This window comes from Homo sapiens, chromosome 2, assembly GCF_000001405.40.
Source record: "Homo sapiens chromosome 2, GRCh38.p14 Primary Assembly".
In the NCBI taxonomy this organism is placed as follows: domain Eukaryota; kingdom Metazoa; phylum Chordata; class Mammalia; order Primates; family Hominidae; genus Homo; species Homo sapiens.
This window is the reverse complement of record NC_000002.12, coordinates 203,455,751-203,477,720: the sequence shown is the minus strand read 5'-3', so window position 1 is coordinate 203,477,720 and position 21,970 is coordinate 203,455,751. Positions and strand designations below refer to the sequence as shown.

The 21,970-nt window shown below is 37.0% G+C and overlaps 1 protein-coding gene across 19 annotated transcripts in view; it reads left to right on the top strand.

Moving 5' to 3' along the window:
- RAPH1 (Ras association (RalGDS/AF-6) and pleckstrin homology domains 1) overlaps window positions 1-21,970 on the top strand; it is a 101,620-nt gene that overhangs the window by 57,581 nt on the left and 22,069 nt on the right. For 10 of the 19 annotated variants that reach the window (NM_001439019.1, XM_011511646.4, XM_047445538.1 and 7 more), the window contains 6 exons: window positions 565-645; window positions 7,408-7,482; window positions 15,796-15,873; window positions 16,313-16,472; window positions 17,693-17,814; window positions 20,126-20,191. In NM_001439019.1, the coding sequence (NP_001425948.1) occupies window positions 565-645; window positions 7,408-7,482; window positions 15,796-15,873; window positions 16,313-16,472; window positions 17,693-17,814; window positions 20,126-20,191 (582 nt within the window). The remainder of the gene's footprint in view (window positions 1-564; window positions 646-7,407; window positions 7,483-15,795; window positions 15,874-16,312; window positions 16,473-17,692; window positions 17,815-20,125; window positions 20,192-21,970) is intronic. The other 9 variants (NM_001439024.1, NM_001439030.1, XM_047445543.1 and 6 more) reach the window with 3 other exon arrangements.

Genomic DNA, 21,970 nt, shown 5'->3' with positions numbered 1-21,970 from the left:
TGGGAGGGGAAACAAAACACATTATTCATCTAGAATTCGAGGGGAGGATAAAAATATGGGTATAATTACAAGGTACATTCTAATGATGAAGATCCTCATGATAAATGGATGTAGCTTTCTCACATGGAGGGAAGTGCAGTCATATGAAGAGAGGGAAGAGGGAAGCTAGAAGCTTGAAGAACATAGAGACTTAGAACAGGTATAACATAAGGGGAAAAATTAATAAGAGCACTGCCAAACAGTGGTTAAGGACCAGTTGAGGTTTGTTAGCATGAATTGGTATTAGACATAATGTTTCTGCACAATTATTTCATAGAACTCTACTATCCAGAAGTGGAGTGAGGTTATCCTTAAATTATCAAGGGTTAGGATCATCTGGGTCTTACCTTTATAATTTTTGCGTATAAGAGAATGAAAGGTAATTGCATGCAACTTTTCATTACTATTTTGTTTCATTACTGTTTTGTTTCACTTCATTGATCTTTTTCTCTTCCTGCATGGTAATGAGAACTGCCCGTTTCACCTCCTTTACCTATCATTTTCTTCCTTACTGCATTTTCACAGCATGCTATTTCTCTGAGATGTTCCAGCAAGCAGGCCAAGCGTCATATTGACTTCACAGAAGAACAGGCTGAGCTGACACCTGTAAGTTCTATAAACATGCCATGGCATGACTTAATGAAGAGGAATGCATTCATTAGACCTCCAAATGATGAAACCTTTTCATATAACTTCAGTTTTTCAAATAAAAATTAAACCAAACTTAATAAATTAGCAAAAACAAATAAGCAACTTTAGATATGGTACAACTGAATATTAATACTCCTGGTATGATTATGTAGGTGGTAGCATAATTGATATAGATGATTTTTGTATTAGAACCTGAAACAACATGCCTTCTTTATTCTGAAACTAAGGGCTTTTGTAAATTTCTTAAGATACTAACAAATTGAATTGTTCTTTACAGCAGAGCTACCAAATGGAATGATTCTTCTGCACTGATGCTTAACTGAAAGCCTAGTTTCTTTCTTAAAAAAATTTATTCTTTGGTCATTTTTTTTGCCATGCCATTTGCCATGGTTGGCAAATCTGGATGCTTCAGAGGTGTACTGTCCCATACGGTAGCCACTAGCCACGTGTGCCTATTAAATATTTAAAATGTGGTTAATCTGAATTGTGTGCTGTAAGGATAAAATACATACTGGACTTCAAAGACTTACTATGAAACAAAAATGTAAAAAAAATCTCGTGGCCGGGTGTGTTGGCTCATACCTGTAATCCCAGCACTTTGGGAGGCCGAGGTGGGCAGATTACTTGAGGCCAGGAGTTCAAGACCAGCCTGGCCAACATGACGAAACCCCATTTCTACTAAAAATACAAAAATTAGCCAGGCTTGGTGGCACATGCCTGTAATCCCAGCTACTCAGGAGGCTGAGGCAGAAGAATTGCTTGAACCCAAGAGGCGGAGGCTGCAGTGAGCCAAGATAACAGTGAGCCAAGATCACACCACTGTACTCCAGCCTGAGTGACGGAGCAAGACTTAAAAAAACAAAAACAACAAAATTTATTTGTATTTATTACTTGTTAAAATTTTGGATATTTTTGGTTAACTAAAATATATGAATATTTCAGTTTTTTCTTTTTATACTTTTTAAAATTAATGTGGCTAACAAAATTTTAAATTACCTTTGTGATGATTTCTAACACCATCTTTACTGTCCAAGTGAAATTTGTAAATAATATAACCTACTTACATACCTACTTTTTTATATGAATGTAATGCCCCAACACCTATGAAGGAGAAATAATGAAAAAGAAATTTATAATAAATAATATATCTGTTTTAGTATGTAAATGCTTAGCTGCCACTATTAAAAGACATAATGAAGTAGTCAAACCTTACACCTACCTATAATCAAGAACTTTGGGTTTAAGAGAAGTGAGATCAGAAGCCTTTTTTTTTTTTTTTTTATACAAGAAGTGTAGGAAAAAGAACAGAAATATGAGTGGACCCCAGAACTGAAACATGTTATAAGTGATAGCAGATAATGACATACTTGTATATACTATGAGAAAAAGGGAAATAATCTTAATTGAAGTAGGGATAATGTGCTGAGACAGTTTATAGGCAAGTAGAGAAAATGGGAGCATGTAAAATTCTTGCAAATGAGATAAGATTATTTATAATTGTAATGACAAAATAATTTCAGTGTTATAATGTGGGATGAGATGGTAGTAATAAAATCATTTGATATCTGATTTTTTTTACAGTGTAGATTTTTCATCATGCTATATATTTTATTTCTTTTTTTTTGAGACGGAGTCTCGCTCTGTCACCCAGGCTGGAGTGCAGTGGCGCGATCTTGGCTCACTGCAAGCTCCACCTCCCAGGTTCATGCCATTCTCCTGCCTCAGCCTCCCAAGTAGGTGAGACTACAGGCACCCGCCACCTCGCCCAGCTAATTTTTTGTATTTTTAATAGAGACGGGGTTTCACCATGTTAGCCAGGATGGTATTGATCTCCTGACCTTGTGATCCTCCCGCCTCGGCCTCCCAAGGTGCTGGGATTACAGGCATGAGTCACTGCGCCCGGCCATATTTTATTTCTTTAAGATGCAGTCTTGCTCTGTTGCTCAAGCTGTAGTACAGTGGTGCCATCTCGGCTCACTGCAATCTCTGCCTCCTGGGTTCAAACGATTCTCCCGCCTCAGCGTCCCAAGTAGCTGCGACTACAAGTGTGCTTCACCACACCTGGCTAATTTTTGTATTTTTAGTAGAGATGGCGTTTTGCCATGTTGGCCAGGCTGGTCTTGAACTCCTTGCCTCAGGTGATCCACCTGCCTCAGCCTCCCAAAGTGGTGGGATTACAGGCATGAGCCATCACTCCCGGCCTTCTGTGCTATGTATTTTAAATATGACAACAGTAGTATGAAATATTTTAAAACAATTTTTACTAATAACGTTAATTTCATGTTTTCACTAATTTAATATTATTTTGCTTTTAATTCTGTTCAAAGGAATTCCAAATATCTCCTATCATTTACTGGCATGTGACAGAGTGTACACTGCCAGTTGTGGTACTGGCAACTCTTACTTCAAGCTAGTTTTCCATTGGTGAAATTATTTTCCAACATTATGAACAGCTGTTTGTAAGCTCAGAACAAAAGAAAGTGCAGACTTCTTTCCATTTATTTTAGAGGGTAATAGCATCCTGGAAAATTCATTCAGTATTAAAATTATGCAAAAATACTTTTTAGATGTAAAATGAAATTAGATTCTAAGCTCAGATTGTTATAAGCAAGATTTCCCATCTCTGCGACTCTCCGTGTAAGGACATTTAACAATTGTGGAATGTGGGACTTTTGTTGTTACTGACATTGTACCATGCTTGCAAGGCATCTTGCATTTTCAACTTCCCAATAAATACCAGTAACTCTCCCTCTCCTCTTCATTGTGGCAGCCCAGAATGTCCTTAACATTTTCTGAAATTCCTGCTTGAGGACAGAGCTACCCTCTTTTGAGAACCACTGGTCTCAAATATCCCTTTGCCCTCTTTCTACCCTGCCACACTCCCTCACACTGCGACCCCAGCAGCCTCTTAATCATCCTCCAGGACTGTAGCTTTTTCAGAATTACTTTATTAAGCCGCTAATTTGGGGTTAGATACCCGTCTCCTTGCTCACCTACCACTTAACACACTGTTTTGTAGTTGCAAGTTGGTCTGCATCTCCCTATTTAGACTACATTCTGTGAGGCAAGGAATGCCCATCTTGGTCACCTTTGCATCTCTAATGCTGGCATGGTTCCACACTCAAAAGTTGGAGCCTAAAAAATGGTTGAATACATGAAGAGGAAAACAGAGAAATAAAATAAATCAATAAAATGGATTGAAAATAAGCCCTTGACTTTGTGTCTATAGTTGGTAAATAAAAGAAAATATAAGAAGGCCCTGTTTATATGAAGCTGTATGCATTTTTATTAACTCACAACATAAACCAAGACTGAAGCCTGATTGGATGCCATGCCCAAACCATAATTTTTTTTTAATTAAACGTTTAAAATATATTTCTAAACAGAATGGCCTTACTCAGTTACAGTAAGATCTCCATAGCAGAGCAACCCACAAAGACACAGCACTGATTTTTTTCCCCTGTAATCAAGGGTGAAAAATATACAACTTGTTTCTGAACCAAAACCACAATTTCTGCAGTTTAAAATGTTTCACTGATAATACGGCCCTGGTAGAAATTATGTAGTTTTAAAACTACATAATTTACTCTCCTTAGTCCTTCAGCTGTGCACCACTCTTCTCATCCCTCTTGCATCCTTCCAGTAACCAGTTTCACCCCACCCCTGCCCCTTTTTTCTGAAGAGCAAGGAATTCTAGGATCAGTGTTATGACTGGTACCAATTGGAAGAAGATACTTTATTTTTTGAGACAGGGTCTCGCTCTGTTGCCCAGGCTGGAATGCAGTGGCATAATCTTAGCTCACTGCAGCCTTAAGCTCCTGGGCTCAAGTGGTCCTCCTATCTGAGCCTCCTGAGTAGCTGGGATTACAGTTCAAGCCACCATGCCCAGTGGAGTTTGCTGCCTCGGGTTTCCACATGTTTGTTGTTTCTGCTAGTAACTAAATAGTGAATAGCTACGTAACCATCCATGCAGGATATAATTTATGATCATGTTTAACTATTGTTTGTGGTCTCATTTTTTGAATGTGGCATATTTTGGGACCACCAACCATAATGATTACCCTCTTTTTATTTTAAGCTATTTGAATATCTTAATATTTCAAAATGGACTTCTATTTCTGTGTCATTAATCAGATACAATTAAATATCATTGCCTCATACTTAACCAAATTATCAGTTTTTTGATGACTTGAAGTCTTGAGGTCATGAGTTTGAGAACTGATTAAATCTTGTGTTTTTAAGAATTAAATTTGAATTTGATGTTTGGAATTACATTTACCAAATCATAGTTTGTTTTGATGGCCTGAGGCAGATTTTATTTTTTTAAATTTGAAATATAATGATCTGAATATAGATAATCTACTCACTTGGAGATAATTTTTCTAAAAAAGTAACTTTTATAAGATAAATACAGTAAGTTTTCAAGAAAGTAATTTCTTGAAATACATGTTACATGTTTTACATAGTAATTGTGTAGCAGTACATGTTTACCCATTATATTTGAATAGCTAAAAATGAATGGGAATAAGAGCAATGAAAGTTATAGTTGCTCTTTTATTTTTAAGTGAAAGCAAGTTTATTAGAGAAGTAAAGAAACGTGGCTGGGCACAGTGGCTCACGCCTATAATCTCAGCACTTTGGGAGGCCAAGGCGGGCGGATCACCTTAGGTCAGGAGTTCAAGACCAGCCTGGCTAACATGGCGAAACTCTGTCTCTAATAAAAATACAAAATTAGCCGAGTGTGGTGGCCCATGCCTGTGATCCCAGCTACTCAGGAGGCTGAGGCAGGAGAAGCGCCTGAAGCTGGGAGGCAGAGGTTGCAGTGAGCTGAGATCACGCCACTGCCCTCCAGTCTGGGTGAGAGAGGGAGACTCTGTCTCAAAAAAATAAAAAAAAAAAAAAAGAACTAAAGAAACCAAAGAATGGCTACTCTTACAAATTGTGCTTTTTGTTCTTTGTTTTTCCCAATTCCCTCCCTCCTCCTTGGCTGTGCATTAACCTCAAACTAAATTGAATTTTCAGAAATTACTACTTACCTAGTGTCTTTATGGAGGAGCCAATCAGTCTTACCTTTAGGAGGACTACACAATCTAGTTAAATGAGGACCTAGGGATAGTTCTCTATGTTCTTGTTATTGTTTGACTTTGTTAGTGCTAATCTTGATGAATATGTCCAATTAAAAAAATTGGACCTTAGGTTTCTTTTTTTTTTTTTAAAGAATGGGTGAGAGGGGCATTTATGCTTATAAAGTTTACCTTGCATTAAAACACAGCTTTAAAAATGCAGACAATAAAATACCATATAGCAAACTTAACATAGTATAGATGTGAGCAAAGATTATATTGTCTTCTGTAACATGTTTTTAATCTTGAAGTAGTGTATTTTATCTATGACCGTGTATGTACTTTTTTTTTTTCTTGAGACAAGAGTTTCACTTGTCGCCCAGGCTAGAGTGCAATGGCACAATTTCGGCTCACTGAAACCTCTGCCTCCCAAGTTCAAGCGATTCTTCTGCAGCAGCCTGCTGAGTGGCTGGGATTACAGGCTCCTGCCAGCACACCCAGCTAATTTTTGTATTTTTAGTAGAAACGGGGTTTCACCATGTTGACCAAGCTGGTCTTAAACTCCTGACCTCAAGAGATCTGCCTGCCTTGGCCTCCCAAAGTGCTAGGGGCCATGTACTTTCTTATAGGGGGTGCTGCTCTAGTATTTGTTTGCATTAGTTTCTTTCCAAAGAATTTCCAAGAATAACTTAACCTGTATTTAGATTTATAAAATATAACAATATTTTCTATACTTTTACTCAGCTGTATTGTACATTTTTTTAAATGGTGATAAGTAACTATGTACTGTTAAATACTAATTTGGAATTTTTTCATGAGAGGCCAGTCCAAATTACATGTATATATCAAAACAACTACAATTTAAGGATAAATGAAATACAATTGTATTAACTTATCTTACAACATGTTACTGAAAAGTTAAGGGGAGAATGATAGGGACCATGCCATTTACAAATTATTTTCACGAAAACAGTTACTTGAATTAATTTAAGTGTGTGACACTTCTGAATATTTTGTTCATGTCATTCATTTGCTCTGCAAATTCTTTACTGTGCAGTATACTCCTATTTTTATTCTGATAATAATGAGTGGGTTAATAAAGTTTTACTGAAAACAGGTGTGTCCATTAGGCAAAATATTGATGGATATTTTTCGTCTTGGTGCAGCTATCATTGAATTGATCAGAAATACTTGGATAAGCTTTTAAAAATGATGTCGTCTTATTCTAACCGAAATATACTATTTAAAGCTATATAGGTCTTCATAGGCTTTAACAAGAGAAAGGGAGTTTAGTCATTGGTCTCTGACATTCATTTATTTGTGTGCTGTGCACAGCATTCATGAGCATTGGCCTAGAAGGCAGACTGGCTCTGCAGTCTGCATGTACTACCCATTTTCCCAAAGAGGGAGGGATCAGCAGGAGTCAGCTGGGACACGCCTACTGGCACGGATGATGTCTTTACCTCCCTGCTCCTTTTCTTTTTCTTTTTTTACATTTTCTTTGTGGAGATATTTCACTCAACTTAGGGAAAAGATATGAGATTAATTATAGAGAATCATTCTTGCTTTGTCTACTTTATGTTTTAAACACATAAAACCTCCACTGACTTCTGTTATTGCCTTTTTTTGTTTGTTTTTCTCTTTTCTGAACAAGCACTCCTATCTGGACAGGGAAACCTCCCTTCTTCTGAGAAACATTGCAGGAAAACCTTCTCATTTGCTGACCAAGGTGATACTTCTTCCACATGCATGTAACTATTTACTGCCTTGTAGGTAGAATATGATTTCTGTTTTTGATCATGCTCTTATATTATTATTTTCTTACTCTAGCATCTTTGTCATTAATATACTTTTTCTTTTACAGATGGTAATTATTTACTGATCTTAATGACTGTCAGGCAATATTGAGAGTACAAAATATTTTCAGTAATTTTCATTAGTTTTTAAACTTTTGTAAATGCCTAATAGTCTTCCCAAGTATGTTGCACTTTTTCTAGTTTAACACTGTTGCATTTTAAAGTCTAAAAAACATTGCTTTAATTGTAACTTTTACTGCTAATGGTTGTCCATACTCTGGGTTTCTTTAGCAAACTTTGCTTCCTAGTTCTTGTTTATATTATCACCTCCTCATTTAATTAAAACATTTACTCATATAAACAGAATCTTAGTTAATATTAACTTAGTCAAATTGAAAGAGGAAGCTGCAATTTTAATTGCCCGGTTCTCTGCCCTTGGAATGTTTTGAATCAGTCCAGCCAGATTTTCACTGGGCTGGTATTTTATATCCATTTGAAATATTTTAGCCATTGTCATCATTAACTAGGGAATAATACAGTAGGGAAGCTGAGTTGCTTTCTACCTCTTTTTAAGTCATGTTTTTATTTCATTAGCTTATTTAAATAATGTTAAATTCAAGAATATCAGACATATTTCTGAAAAATATACAGTTATGGGTAATGTCCCTAAGTTGTTGTTATTGTATCTGAGGTTTGTTTGCTTTAATTTCTTTCTAACCTTGTACATTTATGAAAGAAGATGGTAGACCAAAATGAAAATCTGCCCAAGAAGCAGCTCAAAGAAAAGACCCTTTAACAAAGTCAGCAGTGGGACCCTTTCTCTACCCTGAGTTTCTCTTTTTAAAGCAGATCTATGACTGGTGGTAGAAATTTAAAGATCAGGGAAGTGTAGAAGTCTAAGCTGGTCAGTGTAGAAGTCTAAGTCTAGCTCTTTTTCCTTTTTCCTCAGCTCTTCCCTCTTCGTTCTCTATTTACTCTTTCCCTAGAGTCCACACTTGTATCTTCAGCTAGGATCTCTATTCTAGATGGATCTGTCTCCCAAGAGCACATTTCCAAACAGCTGTTAGGCATTTCCTAGAAGATCACCAACATCTTACAAGCACCTTAAATCCCACAGGTGTTTAGCCTACTTACCTACATTATCCCTGGGCTCCATAATTTATATCTGTTGTCATCTTTTCTGTTTCTGTTTAGGATGCTGACATTCTTCTAATTACCAGGTTTAAGCCCTCTGATCATCTTTGCTACCTTTCTTCTCATTTAATGTCTCCAATTTCTAATGAAGCTTGTGTTAATCTGTAGGATTTACTGAGCTCACCCATTTGTTGCATTCCCATTACCACCATTCTACTACAGGCTCACTCTTAGCTCTTTATTATTGCCCGTCCCCCTTCCAATCCATTTTATACACAGCTCTCAGATGAAGTTTGCCATTTTACCATTTTCATTGCCAATTCAACAATATTTATTGAGCCATGAACTGCCAGGTGCTGGGATAGAACATTGCATAAAATATACCTGTTCCTCACCCTCGAGCTCACAGTCTGTTTATGAAGATAGATAATAAACAGTGACAAGCAAGCATGTAAAGAAGTTCTAAATCATGTTAAGTGCTATGAAGGAAAGAAAGGAGTAGAACATACTGGGAAAAAGATTGGGGTACATTTTATTTAGATGATGAGATCAGCGGGTTCTAGGAGGGTAATATTTAAGCTAAAGCCTGAAGGATGCAAAGAAACCAGCCTGGGGCTTAAGGGAGTGTTCCATGTACATAAGTCAAGGAAAAGAGCTTGGCATGTTTGAGAGGTTGAAAAAAGACCGTTTTGCCAGTCACCCTAGTTGAGTGAAAGTACAAGTGTCTTGATTGGGGTTTGGGGAGGTAGGCAGGAGAAGCCAGATCACTCAAGCCACACCGAGGCTTTATTTTTCTCTAACTGTAGCTGGAAACCATTGAAAAGAATAAATAACTTCATTTATCCATTCAACAAATATTTACTGAGTATCTACTATGTGCCAGACAATGTTTATGACCCTGGAGATACAGCAGTGAACAAAACAAAGTTCCTACCATAGGCAGTGTTATTCTTTGCAAGTTTTGGATAAACATGGTCAGTGGCTCATGCCTGTAATCCCAGTACTTTGGGAGGCTAAGGCAGGTGGTGGAGTTCAAGCCCAGGAGTTCAAGACCAGCCTGCCTAACATAGTGAAACCCCATCTCTACAAAAAAAATACAAAAATTAGCCTGGCGTGGTGGTGCATGCCTGTAGTCCCAGCTACTCAGGAGGCTGAGGTGGGAGAATCACCTGAGCCTGGGAGGTCGAGGCTGCAGTGAGCCATGATCACACCACTGCACTCTAGCCTGGGTGACAGAGTGAGACCCTATCCCCCTGCCAAAAAACAAAAAGTTTAAAAATAAACCACAGTCATTCCTTGGTATACATAGGGAATTGCTTCCAGGACCCAAATCAATACCAAAACCTGCACGTACACAAGTCCTGAAGTTGGTCCTGAGACCTTGGACATGAAAAGTCCTCCTGTATATAGCGAATTTTTAAAATTTTTATTATTATTTTGAGACAGAGTCTTGCTGTGTCACCCAGGCTGGAGTGCAGTGGTGCCATCTTGGCTCACTGCAACCTCCACCTCCCAGGTTCAAGGAATTCTCCTGCCTCAGCCTCCTGAGTAGCTGGGATTACAGGCATGTGCCACCACGCCCAGCTAATTTTTGTATTTTTTTTTTTTTAGTAGAGACGGGGTTTCGCTATCATGGCTAGGCTGGTCCTGAACTCCTGACCTCAGGTGATCTGCCCGCCTCAGCCTCCCAAAGTGCTGGGATTATAGGCGTGAGCCACCATGCCCAGCCTGTATAGGGAATTTTGCATCCTGAGAATACTATATTTTTTATCTGAGTTTGGTTGGGAATGCAGAGCCCTCCAGTATGGAGGGTCAAATGTATTTATAGAAAAACATTTACACATAAGGACACTAGTAGCTCAGACTCAGGTTCAAGGATCAGCTATAGTTGTTAATTATTTTGATTCTAAGCAGTGCTATTTAATGACCCTTAAGCTGTTTATATCTTTCCAAGTTCTATTTAAATCATTTTAATTTACATTGTATTGCAATATATGAATTAAACTAGATCCTGAAGGAATTCTTAACCACTGTTTAGCCCCTTAATTTCAACTGGGTTTGTTCTGAACCCACAAAGCTTAAGCTTCCCAGTTGAAGGAACAACTTAGCAACAGTAGCACTTTCTGTAAGTATTCTAATTTTTACACCATAGAGAAAGTTCTAACACTTTGTAGCCACAGTGTTGGCTTTCATTTAATCATAGGATCTTCACCTAGTTTTTGTCTTTACGTAAATTTGAGGAGGCTTGGCATTGGTGGTTATTGATAGCCACATAGGAGTTTTTCAGTAGAAAATAGATTGTCTCTTGCTCTTTTAAGAGAAGGTATGGGAGAGAAATTTAAGTTTTTACATATGTGAGGTATTTTTTACTTAAGTTTAATATAGTTGTGAAGAAAGGGACAGTCCAAGGATATGGGGCAGAAAACTTAACACCTGACTTTGGAAGCGGAACATAAGATGAATAAAGCTTTGTCTTTTGTATTAAACTTGGGCTGTAAACATTGAATGTAGATTTGCATTGCCTTTATAAATAAACTATTGGAGGTGTTCTAAGTATGTCATCTAAACGTATCAGCAAACATTTATTTTTCCTGTATTATACAACACCCCATGAGCTTAAGACAATTTCTATTTTTCCCAGGTTGTTAATAGTTAAAAGATATGGTGATTGCTTAAATACATTAGACACAAATAGCACTCTCTGAGAAAGAGCTTATTACCCACAGGAAGCATAAAAATATTAGGAGTCTTGCAATTTGACATAAACATTTTCATTTCCAGTTTTGTTCCAGGGATGATACTCAGACTCTAAAAGAGGTATCATGATCAGTTCTGTTTCTTCAAAAAGCTGCTAGCAAGGGTTATCCTTTAATAAAACTAGAGAAGTATAAACTAAAATATGCCTAGGTTGAAGTTAACCCAGCTCTTAATTTCATACAGTTTTAACATGGACCACTTTATGTAAGCATAAAGAGTAGCATTTTGAGCAAATGGAAGAGCAGCTGGGATTTGGATTTGTTAAAATAGCCCCCATCTAGCTGCTTTATAAAAATTTCTTATTGACAGTTAGGAAATCTAATTGGTTTAATGTATGTTAGTTGGTTACACGGGTCTCTTCTTTGTTTAATCCCTATGTCCGTTGTGTCAACTTTTTTTTTTTGAGACGAAGTCTTGCTGTGTCACCCAGGCTGGAGTATAGTGGTGTGATCTCTGTTTACTGCAACCTCCGTTTTCTGGTTTCAAGCAATTCTCCCTTTCTCAGCCTCCTGAGTAGCTGGGATTACAAGCGCCCACCACTGCACCCAGCTAATTTTGGTGTTTTTAGTAGAGACAGGGTTTTGCCATGTTGGCCAGCCTGGTCTTCAACTCCTTATCTGCCCGCTTGGCCTCTCAAAGTGCTGGGATTACAGGCATGGGCCACCATGCCTTGCCGGTGTTGTACATTCTATGCATATTGGCAAATATATGTGATAACATGTATCCACCATTGTTTTATCATACAGAATAGTTTCACAGCCCTTAAATCCTCCGTGCTCTGCCTATTCATTCCTCCTTCTTAACCCCTGGCAACTACTGATCTTTTTATCGTCTTTATGGTTTTGGCTTTTCCAGTGTCATGTAGTTAGAATTGTACACTAAATATCTTTCTGAGATTGGCTTCTTTCACTTAGTATTACACACTTAATGTTCCTTCATGTCTTTTCATGGCTTGAGAGCTCATTTCATTTTAGTGCTGAATAATATTCCATTGTCAGGATGCACCATAGTTTATTTATTACTTACTGGGTGACGTCTTTGTTGCTTCCAAGTTTTGGCACTCATGAATAAGGTTGCTATAAACATCCATGTGCATGTCTTTGTAGGCATCAGTTTTCAACTCATTTGGGTAAATACCAAGGAGCACAATTGCTGAATTGAATTGTATGGTAAGAGTACATTTAGTTTTGTAAAAAACTGCCAAAACTGTCTTCCAAAGTGACTGTACCATTTTATATTCCCACTAGCAATGAATGAGAGTTCCTATTGTTCCACATCCTTGGCAGCATTTGGTGGTGTTAGTGTTTTGGATTTTGGCCATTCTGATAGGTGTGTAGTGGTATCTCATTTTACTTGTAATTCCCTAATGACAAATAATGTTGAACATCTTTTTATATGCTTATTTACTAGCTGTCTTCTTTAGTGAGGTATCTTTTCAGGTCTTTTGCCTATTTTTAAAATCATGTTCATTTTTGTTTTAAAGAATTTTAAGAGCTCTCTCTCTCTTTTTTTTTATAACAGTTCTTTATCAGATACGTCTTTTGCAAATATTTTTTCTCCCAGTTTATCCCTTGTCTTCTCATTCTCTTGAATATTCCTTTTTTCTCAGAAATATGTTCAGCTTTGAGGGCATCTTGTAAACTTTTAAAATGTTAAATTTATAGATTATGTAATACCATAAAGAATTTGGCCTTTTAGAAGTTCATGTTTGGCTGGGCATGGTGGCTCATGCCTGTAATCCCAGCACTTTGGGAGGTCTAGGCAGGTAGATCACCTGAGGTCAGGAGTTTGAAACCAGTCTCGCCAACATGGCGAAACCCTGTCTCTTCTAAAAATACAAAATTAGCCGGGCATGGTGGCGGGCATCTGTAATCCCAGCTACTTGGGAGGCTGAGGCAGGAGAATCGCTTGAACCCGGGAGGTGGAGGTTGCAGTGAGCCAAGATCATGCCACTGCACTCCAGCCTGGGCAACAGAGCAAGACTCCATCATCTCAAAAAGAAAAAAGTTCATGTTTATATTCCAAATATACAAAACATTGATTCCACATATCAGTTTTTCCTCTTCAGACTTTAAATTTACTTTTCAGGAATATGAAGTGAAACCTGCAAATATACCTTGGTAAACTTTCTTTGCAATTCATGCCAATATAAGGATGCGGCAAATGAGCCATGAGGAACATAATAAGATCATTATCCCATTGAGAAAATATTCATGAAACTTCTGCCTCCTTCTTTCTCTTCCCCTAAATTTGTCAAGTAACTGATTTCATAAAAACTGCTGGAAAATGCTAGTATTGCAGATTCCTTTATAAAGTAGTGCTCTGTTCATCAAAAACGCATATAAGTTTTGGTAATTTACCTAACAATTTGTTTCTGTAAGACTCATAATTCTAAAAACTGAGAGTTTTAATGACAGTAATTTAGTTTTCTCGTTTCATAGCTTGTTTTAAAAAGAGAAAAATTTGTATCTTAAAACGTAAACATGTTTTATAATTCTGCTATTTGTTTATTTGCATAAAGGATTTTTTAAAAAAATAGGATGATTTAATCTTTTAGTCAGAGGAATATATAATAGTATAAGAATTCAGTCTCGTCTTAGCCCTCTCCATTTTAAAAATAAAGTTCTTTGTTTTCTGCCTAATTGAGTTTACAGATAGTATTTCCAGACCCTGGTTATTATGGTAATTCATTGGCTCCTTTCAATGGAAGGGATCAGCTTTCTGGCAACCAAGCCCACTGCCTTCCCTAACCACTGTTTTCTTCTCTGTTCCACAAAATAGTAAATACTAAGCTTGAAATGATGGGAGACAGCCTAGAGTATAAAATAGAAAAGTAGTTCATAAATAAGAAAGCCAACAGAATTTAGGCAGACAGAATAAATCTATGAACTGAATTGAGTTTCTCTTTTTGTTTTTTGCCCTGGAAGCTTTAGCTTTTTAATGAATAACATATGGATTGTGGTTTTCATCACAATGCAGAGAGGATAAAGTTTGGCTGATATGATGAGGATTTTTTCTTCTTAGACTTAAGGAATATTTAAGGTGGAAGTTTCCATTTTTCTTTTCTTTTTTTTTTTTTGAGATGGAGTCTCGCTCTGTTGCCCAGGCTGGAGTGCAGTGGCACAATCTTAGCTCACTGCAGCCTCTGCCTCCCAGGCTCAAGCAGTTCTCCTGCCTCAGCCTCCCAAGTAGCTGGGGTTACAGGCACACACCACCAAGAGCAGCTAATTTTTGTATTTTTTAGTTAGAGACGGGGTTTCACCAAGTTGCACAGGCTGGTCTCCAACTCCTGACCTCAAATGATCTGCCCTCCCCAGCCTCCAAAGTGCCAGGATTACAGAAATGAGCCAACACGCCCAACCAAAAAGTTTTTATTTTTCTTAGATATTTTCCAGAGTAATCAAAAGCCTAGAAATAGAAAATAATCCTTTATAAACAAAAGTTTACTTATACAAGTTTTTTAAAATTGGAGATTAATGCCACAGCATATTATGGCCTATTGCTGGAAATTACAAGTACCAGCATTAGAGTACTATATGCTAATTCAGAATAAAGCAGACAAATGGTTTAAGTATATTTTTAGTTATAATTTTTATTACTCTTTTTAATCTAAGTTTTCTGAGGTAGAAGTTACTAGAAATTTTAAGTTATTTGGAAAATCATATTTAGCATTTAAAAATATTGTCAGTAAACTAATAAAAACAAATTTTGAATTTACTGACATAAGACATTGATTACATTGTATGATTTTCCAAAGCAGAGTGAAACTTACGCAATAAGGCAGCTTCTTATATTTGTATTGGTATACTAATGAGATTGTACCTACATTTTTATTTTTTAAAGGGTTTTTATATGGTTGTAAACAGGTAGGTATTGTTTTTTGTTGTAGATATTTTTATGATAGTGGTATACTTTCAGTGTAACAGAACAGAACATTAATATTCAAAGACTTGCCCTTACTTTGGAGGGAGTGGAAATTCAGAGTTGAGGGATTCTGCAGGGAAAACAAATTGTCACCACTATACATTCATTTTTCTCCTATCCCAGAACCTGAAATTCATCTGCTTCACATTGACAGAATCAAACTTGGTAATTTACTACATCACAGAGTTCTTTTTTTCCTCTAGAATATTGGATGTAGAAATGCCTATTGTAAGACATCTTCAAGTCTGCATCTATAAAATGTTTCTTTATAATATGTCTGCTCTTTGTGAACAGTTATTTTTTAAATGTGCTCTGTGTGTAGTTATATTCTTAATGAAATTTATTGCTGGGAGCATCCTTAAGGATAAAAAAGATTTCTCAAATATTTCATCATCTTAGCATTGTTTATCTGAAATGCTTTGTGTTCACAGGAAGAACAGGCAGCAAAATTGAAAGCTGAGAAGATCAGAGTTGCCCTAGAGAAAATTAAAGAGGCACAAGTGAAAAAGGTGATATGTGGGCCTCTTCCTGGTTTGGGATTTTTTTATCAGTTTTTTGGATTTGTGAAGAATTGCCTTGTTTATGTAATGTACTTCTAAGATATGGAGAGATACAGGGGCATTTCTTCCTAGTAATATATTTTTCACATGTAGTATTTTTTGTGGGTAAAATGCATTATAAAAGGAGTAATTTTCTGGTTCTGAATTCTCCTAAAGGAGTAATCATAACATTATAACCTTATCTGTTATATTTTTAAAATGCTTTAAATTTACTTACAGGTTATTTGATGTCTGATTTTTAGCCTATATTTTTGCATAATGAAGTCATTATTTGTGTTTTAATTTATATACAAATACATTAATCCAAATTTTATTTGATATTGGATCAGTGCCTTTCCTAGAATGCCATTTTTTAGTGTTCATTTACTTTTCTTTTTACCTGTTATAGCTGGTGATCAGAGTCCACATGTCTGATGACAGTTCTAAAACAATGATGGTGGATGAGAGGCAGACAGTAAGACAAGTACTGGATAACCTGATGGACAAATCCCACTGCGGTTATAGTTTAGACTGGTCACTGGTAGAAACCGTTTCTGAATTACAAATGGGTTAGTAATATCATTGCTTTAATTGCTTTCTAATTTTTGTGTAATTTCATCAGTTTTCATGCTGATAAAAACATTTTGAGTTATCTTTATATATATATATATGTTTTTATTTTATTTTATTTTAATTTTTTGGGGGATGGAGTCTCGCTCTGTCACCTAGACTGAAGTGCAATGGCACGATCTCGGGTCACTGCAGCCTCTGCCTCCTGGGTTCAAGCAATTATCCTGCCTCAGCCTCCTGAGTAGCTGGGACTACAGGCGTGCACCACCACGCCTGGCTAATATTTTGTATTTTTTAGTAGAGATGGGGTTTCACCTGTTGGCCAGGATGGTCTTGATCTCCTGACCTTGTGATCCACCTGCCTTGGCCTCCCAAAGTGCTGGGATTACAGGCGTGAACCACCACGCCTGGCCTCATCTTTATATATTTTTTCGATAAAATTACCTTTCATAATTTGGCTTCTTTACATTATTTTTTTCTGAAGTGTTTTAAGAGTTCTTTGAATACAAGATCATTTCCAATTCACTTCAGATTTTATAATGGCTAAAACAAAGTTTTTTTAAAAGGTAACAAAATAGTTTTTTTTTTTTCAAATAAGAACTGGATAGACTGATGCATTTACTAAAAATTATTATGTTAACTTGAATTTGTACTGAAGTCTTTAAACCAGCATTTGACTCGGGAAACAAAGCACATTAACAAATTTCAAAGAATCCATATCTAGAACGTGTTCTTTAACATATGTTCAGTATACAGGACATGTTCTTTCATTTCTAATTTGGAAATTAGAAAATACATATATGTTTAAGATTAAACAACAGTCATGGATCAAAGAAGAAATCATCTTGGAAATGTTTTAAATGCCAAGAACTAAATAGGAAATACTTGATATCGAAACTTATAAGATGTAACTAATGTTTTATTTTTAAGGGTGGGATGGGAAAATGTTTAAGACTGAAGAATGGTGTCCTGCAAGTCAGAAAGCCTAGATTCTAGTCCTAGTTCTTCCATATATCAGCTGTGTGACCTTGGTTATGTCATTAACATAATTAAGGCATATTTCTTTGTTTGAAAAATTAGGGAATACCAGATAATTTTTAGGTGCTAAAATGTCGGTTAAGATTATGTGGTTCTGAGGTTAACTACTTCACAAAGTTTCATGTCTTTCATGCAACTCTAATGAATACTAACAAAATACGGATATTTTATTTTGGGACAGAGAGAATCTTTGAAGACCATGAAAACTTGGTTGAAAATCTTCTTAATTGGACAAGAGATAGCCAAAACAAGCTTATATTTATGGAGCGTATAGAAAAATATGCACTTTTCAAAAACCCACAGGTAAGACCAAACAACTTACAGAGGTCAGGATTTGTAAATATGTCTCCTATTTTATTCGATTACTGCTAAGTTAGAGTTAAAAGACTGGTAAACACCTGGTTGGAGCGATATACCTGCAAAATCCTATAGGAGCATCATCTACTACTGCTGCTGCTGCTGCTGCTGAGGTGGAAAGTCAGCTGGTGCCCACGTGTTAGGCCCTAAAGAGGTTCCCAGTCCTCCAGAACCAGATGGGGTGAGCCGTTTTGGAAGCAGAAGTATAGCTCTAGTGAGTTACCAGGTCTTTTGGCTCTGTAATCCAGAGCTGTGTTGAACCCAGCTGTTTATTTGGTGAGTTTGTCATCTCATCAAAGAAAAGTACTTCTCTACTCCAGCCATTTATCCAGTTGACACTTCTTTTGGAATTACTTTTTAAACATCCCAGTAACCTTGATTACAAATGGCTTTACATTCTAATAAACATACTTTGATTTATTTGACATCTTTCCTTATTCCAAAATAATGTTTGAGTTAATACTTCCCAATACCTAGACATTTTACAAAATTCAGTAGGTGAGGGAAAACAACTCCACAATAAAAAGTAGTAATGAAGAAAAATAGCAGCAGTGTTAAAGATATTGCATAGTTATGCTTCAAATGGCATAACCATGACACATCTTTTCTGGATGTTTTAGTGAAGAATACATATTTGGGGGTATCAACAGATCTTTTTGTAGGCAGTTATGAAAAATAATTACAGGCCAGGCGCAATGGCTCACTCCTGTAATCCCAGCACTTTGGGAGGCTGAGGTGGACTGATCACAAGGTCAGGAGATCGAGACCATCCTGGCTAACACGGTGAAACCCCGTCTCTACTAAAAATACAAAAAATTAGCCCAGCACTTTGGGAGTCTGAGGTGGATGGATCACAGGGTCAGGAGATCGAGACCATCCTGGCTAACACGGTGAAACCCTGTCTCTACTAAAAATACAAAAAATTAGCCGGGCGTGGTGTCGGGCGCCTGTAGTCCCAGCTACTTGGGAGGCTGAGGCAGGAGAATGGTGTGAATCCGGGAGTCGGAGCTTGCACTGAGCCGAGATTGTGCCACTGCACTCCAGCCTGGGTGACAGTGAGACTCCGTCTCCAAAAAAAAAAAGAGAAAAAGAAAAAGAAGTACAGTCAGCCCTCTATATCCATGGGTTCTGCATCTGTGGATTTGCACAACTGCAGATCTAAAATATTCAGAAAAATAATTCCAGGTTCTAAAAAACAAAACTTGAATATGCCACGCTTGAGTACTGCATTGAATTCATGCAAATTAAATGATAGGTAGGCATTGTATTAGGTATTGTAAGTAATCTAGAGATTATTTAAAGTACAAGGGAGAATGTGCATAGGTTATATGCAAATGTGACCCCATTTTTATAAGTGACTTTAAGCATCAGCAGATTTTGGTATACAGGGGAGATCCTAGAATCAATCTCCTATGGACAACAAGGGATGACTGTGTACTAATGAGTAGACTTCAGTTTGATTTTTTTGTTTGTTTGTTTTTTGTTTTTTTTTGAGATGGAGTCTCGCTCTGTTGCCCAGGCTGGAGTCAGTGGCGTGATCTTGGCTCACTGCAACCTCCGCCTCCAAGCGATTCTCCTACCTCAGCCTCCTGCATAGCTGGGACTACAGGTGCGTGCTGCCACACCTGGCTAATTTTGTATTTTTAGTAGAGACGGGGTTTCACCGTGTTGGTCAGGCTGGTCTTGAACTTCTGACCTCGTGATCCACCCGCCTTGGCCTCCCAGAGTGCTGGGATTACAGGTGTGAGCCACTGCACCCAGCCAGAATTCAGATTTTTAGTTGAGTCAAGTAAATGAGATTATTAATAAATGAGTCCCAGAGAATATGGGATTTCTTCTTAAAAAGCCAGAACATAAATTTTCTGCACCTAGATCAGTATATTTTAAGGAAATTTGCCTTACTTGTTGTACTTATGAATTTCTAAACCTTTCAGATCCTCTAACGTAGCTTTCATTAGATATCCCAAAACATATTTGCCAGCTGTTGAATGTAATACCACCTCACAGTCTGGGTAAGGACAGTTTATGACAAGTGGACAGGCAAGGAGGAGACTGGTGTTAAGCATTTTAGTGATGATGCCCATACACAGGTAACTTTTCAAAGTTTATTCTACTCTATACCAACAGAAATCAGAGTTGCTATTTCTCTAGAAGAAAACATACACACACCTGTGCCAAGGGAATAACAGAATGGATTTATGCTTTAACCTTCTTTTTTTCTCTCCCACCCATCCCTTCCATATGTTTGTTTTTCCAGAATTATCTTTTGGGGAAAAAAGAAACAGCTGAGATGGCAGATAGAAACAAAGAAGTCCTCTTGGAGGTATGACAACCCCCATTTTCCTGCACATTTAAAAATTAAAATATTAGGCCAGGCATGGTGGCTCACGCCTGCAATCCCAACACTTCGGGAGGCTGAGGTGAGTGAATCACAAGATCAGGAGTTCAAGACCAGCCTGCCCAAGATGGTGAAACCCTGTCTGTTAAAAAATAAAAAAATTAGCCAGGCGTGGTGGTGGGCGCCTGTAATCCCAGCTACTCGGGAGGCTGAGGCAGGGAATTGCTTGAACCCGGGATGCGGAGGTTGCAGCGAGCCGAGATTGCACCACTGCATTCCAGCCTAGCAACAGGGTGAGACTCTGTCTCAATAAAATAAATAAATAAATAAATAAATAAAATAAAATATTAAATACCTTTTTGAAGTCAAGTATGTCAGTGTTCTATATTTGTAGTTACAATTTTAATTAAAGAAGCCTGTGTATTCTTTGATAGTATGAGGGAGAGAGTTCAACTGTGTGAACGTGTTAGGCCACTGAAGACCCTTTATTATTTTGCCAAGCCATATTCTAGTGATCTAAGAATAATGAGCTTTTAGGGGCTGCCAAGTGGGAGAGGTGGCTGGTCAATGAAGGATGTGGTTTTGCTGTTTTTATCTGCTTACTCAGAGAGAAATTTGAATATAATTAGCTGTTCACAAATTATTTCCAGCCTTATCCTTAAATAATTAAATAATTTTTAAAATCATGATCATTTTTTGGAAAAATATAATTGAATTTTTGGCTGATTTTATAGAACTAAAATCAAATAACTTAGTATACTTGAAAACCTGAATAAACCCTTACTTACCAGCAAGGCAATTAGGAAGCGAAGATCAACATTCAGTTTTCATAGTGATACTAACTACGGTTAAGTAAAAATCTGCCTTGTAATTCCTAATTTTTCTGTACTTTGAGGAGAAAAATTAATTTAGGCCCAAATGTCCTATATTAGTGTTTTCTGAGGATTTCTCTTTTCTTTCACAAATACATGATTGATTTCTTTAATATTAGATTTTTATCAAAGCATAGTGTTTAGAACTTAGAATTTTGAGTGTTTATAGTCCTTTCAACCTAGTATTATTTTTTAAATAAATGCCCTCTTTGTCTTAGAGTCACATAAATGGATAGTTTTTAAATTCTTAAAGTTTAATCATACACTTAGCACGTTGCATTCTTTTAAAATATATTCCTGTTTAGTTTGACAGCTAATCTAAATGTAGAGAAAAAATAAAGTCTAACGCTTGGTTTGCCCTGACAGTTTTATTAAATTTAGTGTAACTGTGCTGTTTGCAAAGGTATTTAACTACTGTTACATGCAACTCAGTTCATGTGTCAACTTAGTTTTTCTCCGAAACAGTGTTTTAGTTAAAAGTTTGTAGGTAAAAATTCAGTATTACATGTATGACTGGCATTTTTATTTAATAAACATTTTAGGATTGCCATAGTAGTTCCAAATTCATATTGTGTTTAGAATAGAAAGTGTTTTGTCTTGTTTTTGTTTTTGTTTTTGTTTTTGTTTTTGTTTTGAGACAGAGTCTCGCTCTGTTGCCCAGGCTGGAGTGCAGTGGTGTGATCTCAGCTCACTGCAATCTCCGCCTCCCAGGTTCAAGCAATTTTTGTGCCTCAGCTGCCCACATAACTGGGACTACAGGCTCGCGCCACCATGCCTGGCTTTTTTTTTTTTTTTTAAGTAGAGACGTGGTTTCACTATGTTGGCCAGGCTGGTCTTGAACTCCTGACCTCAAGTGATCCACCCGCTTCCCAAAGTGCTGGGATTACAGGCA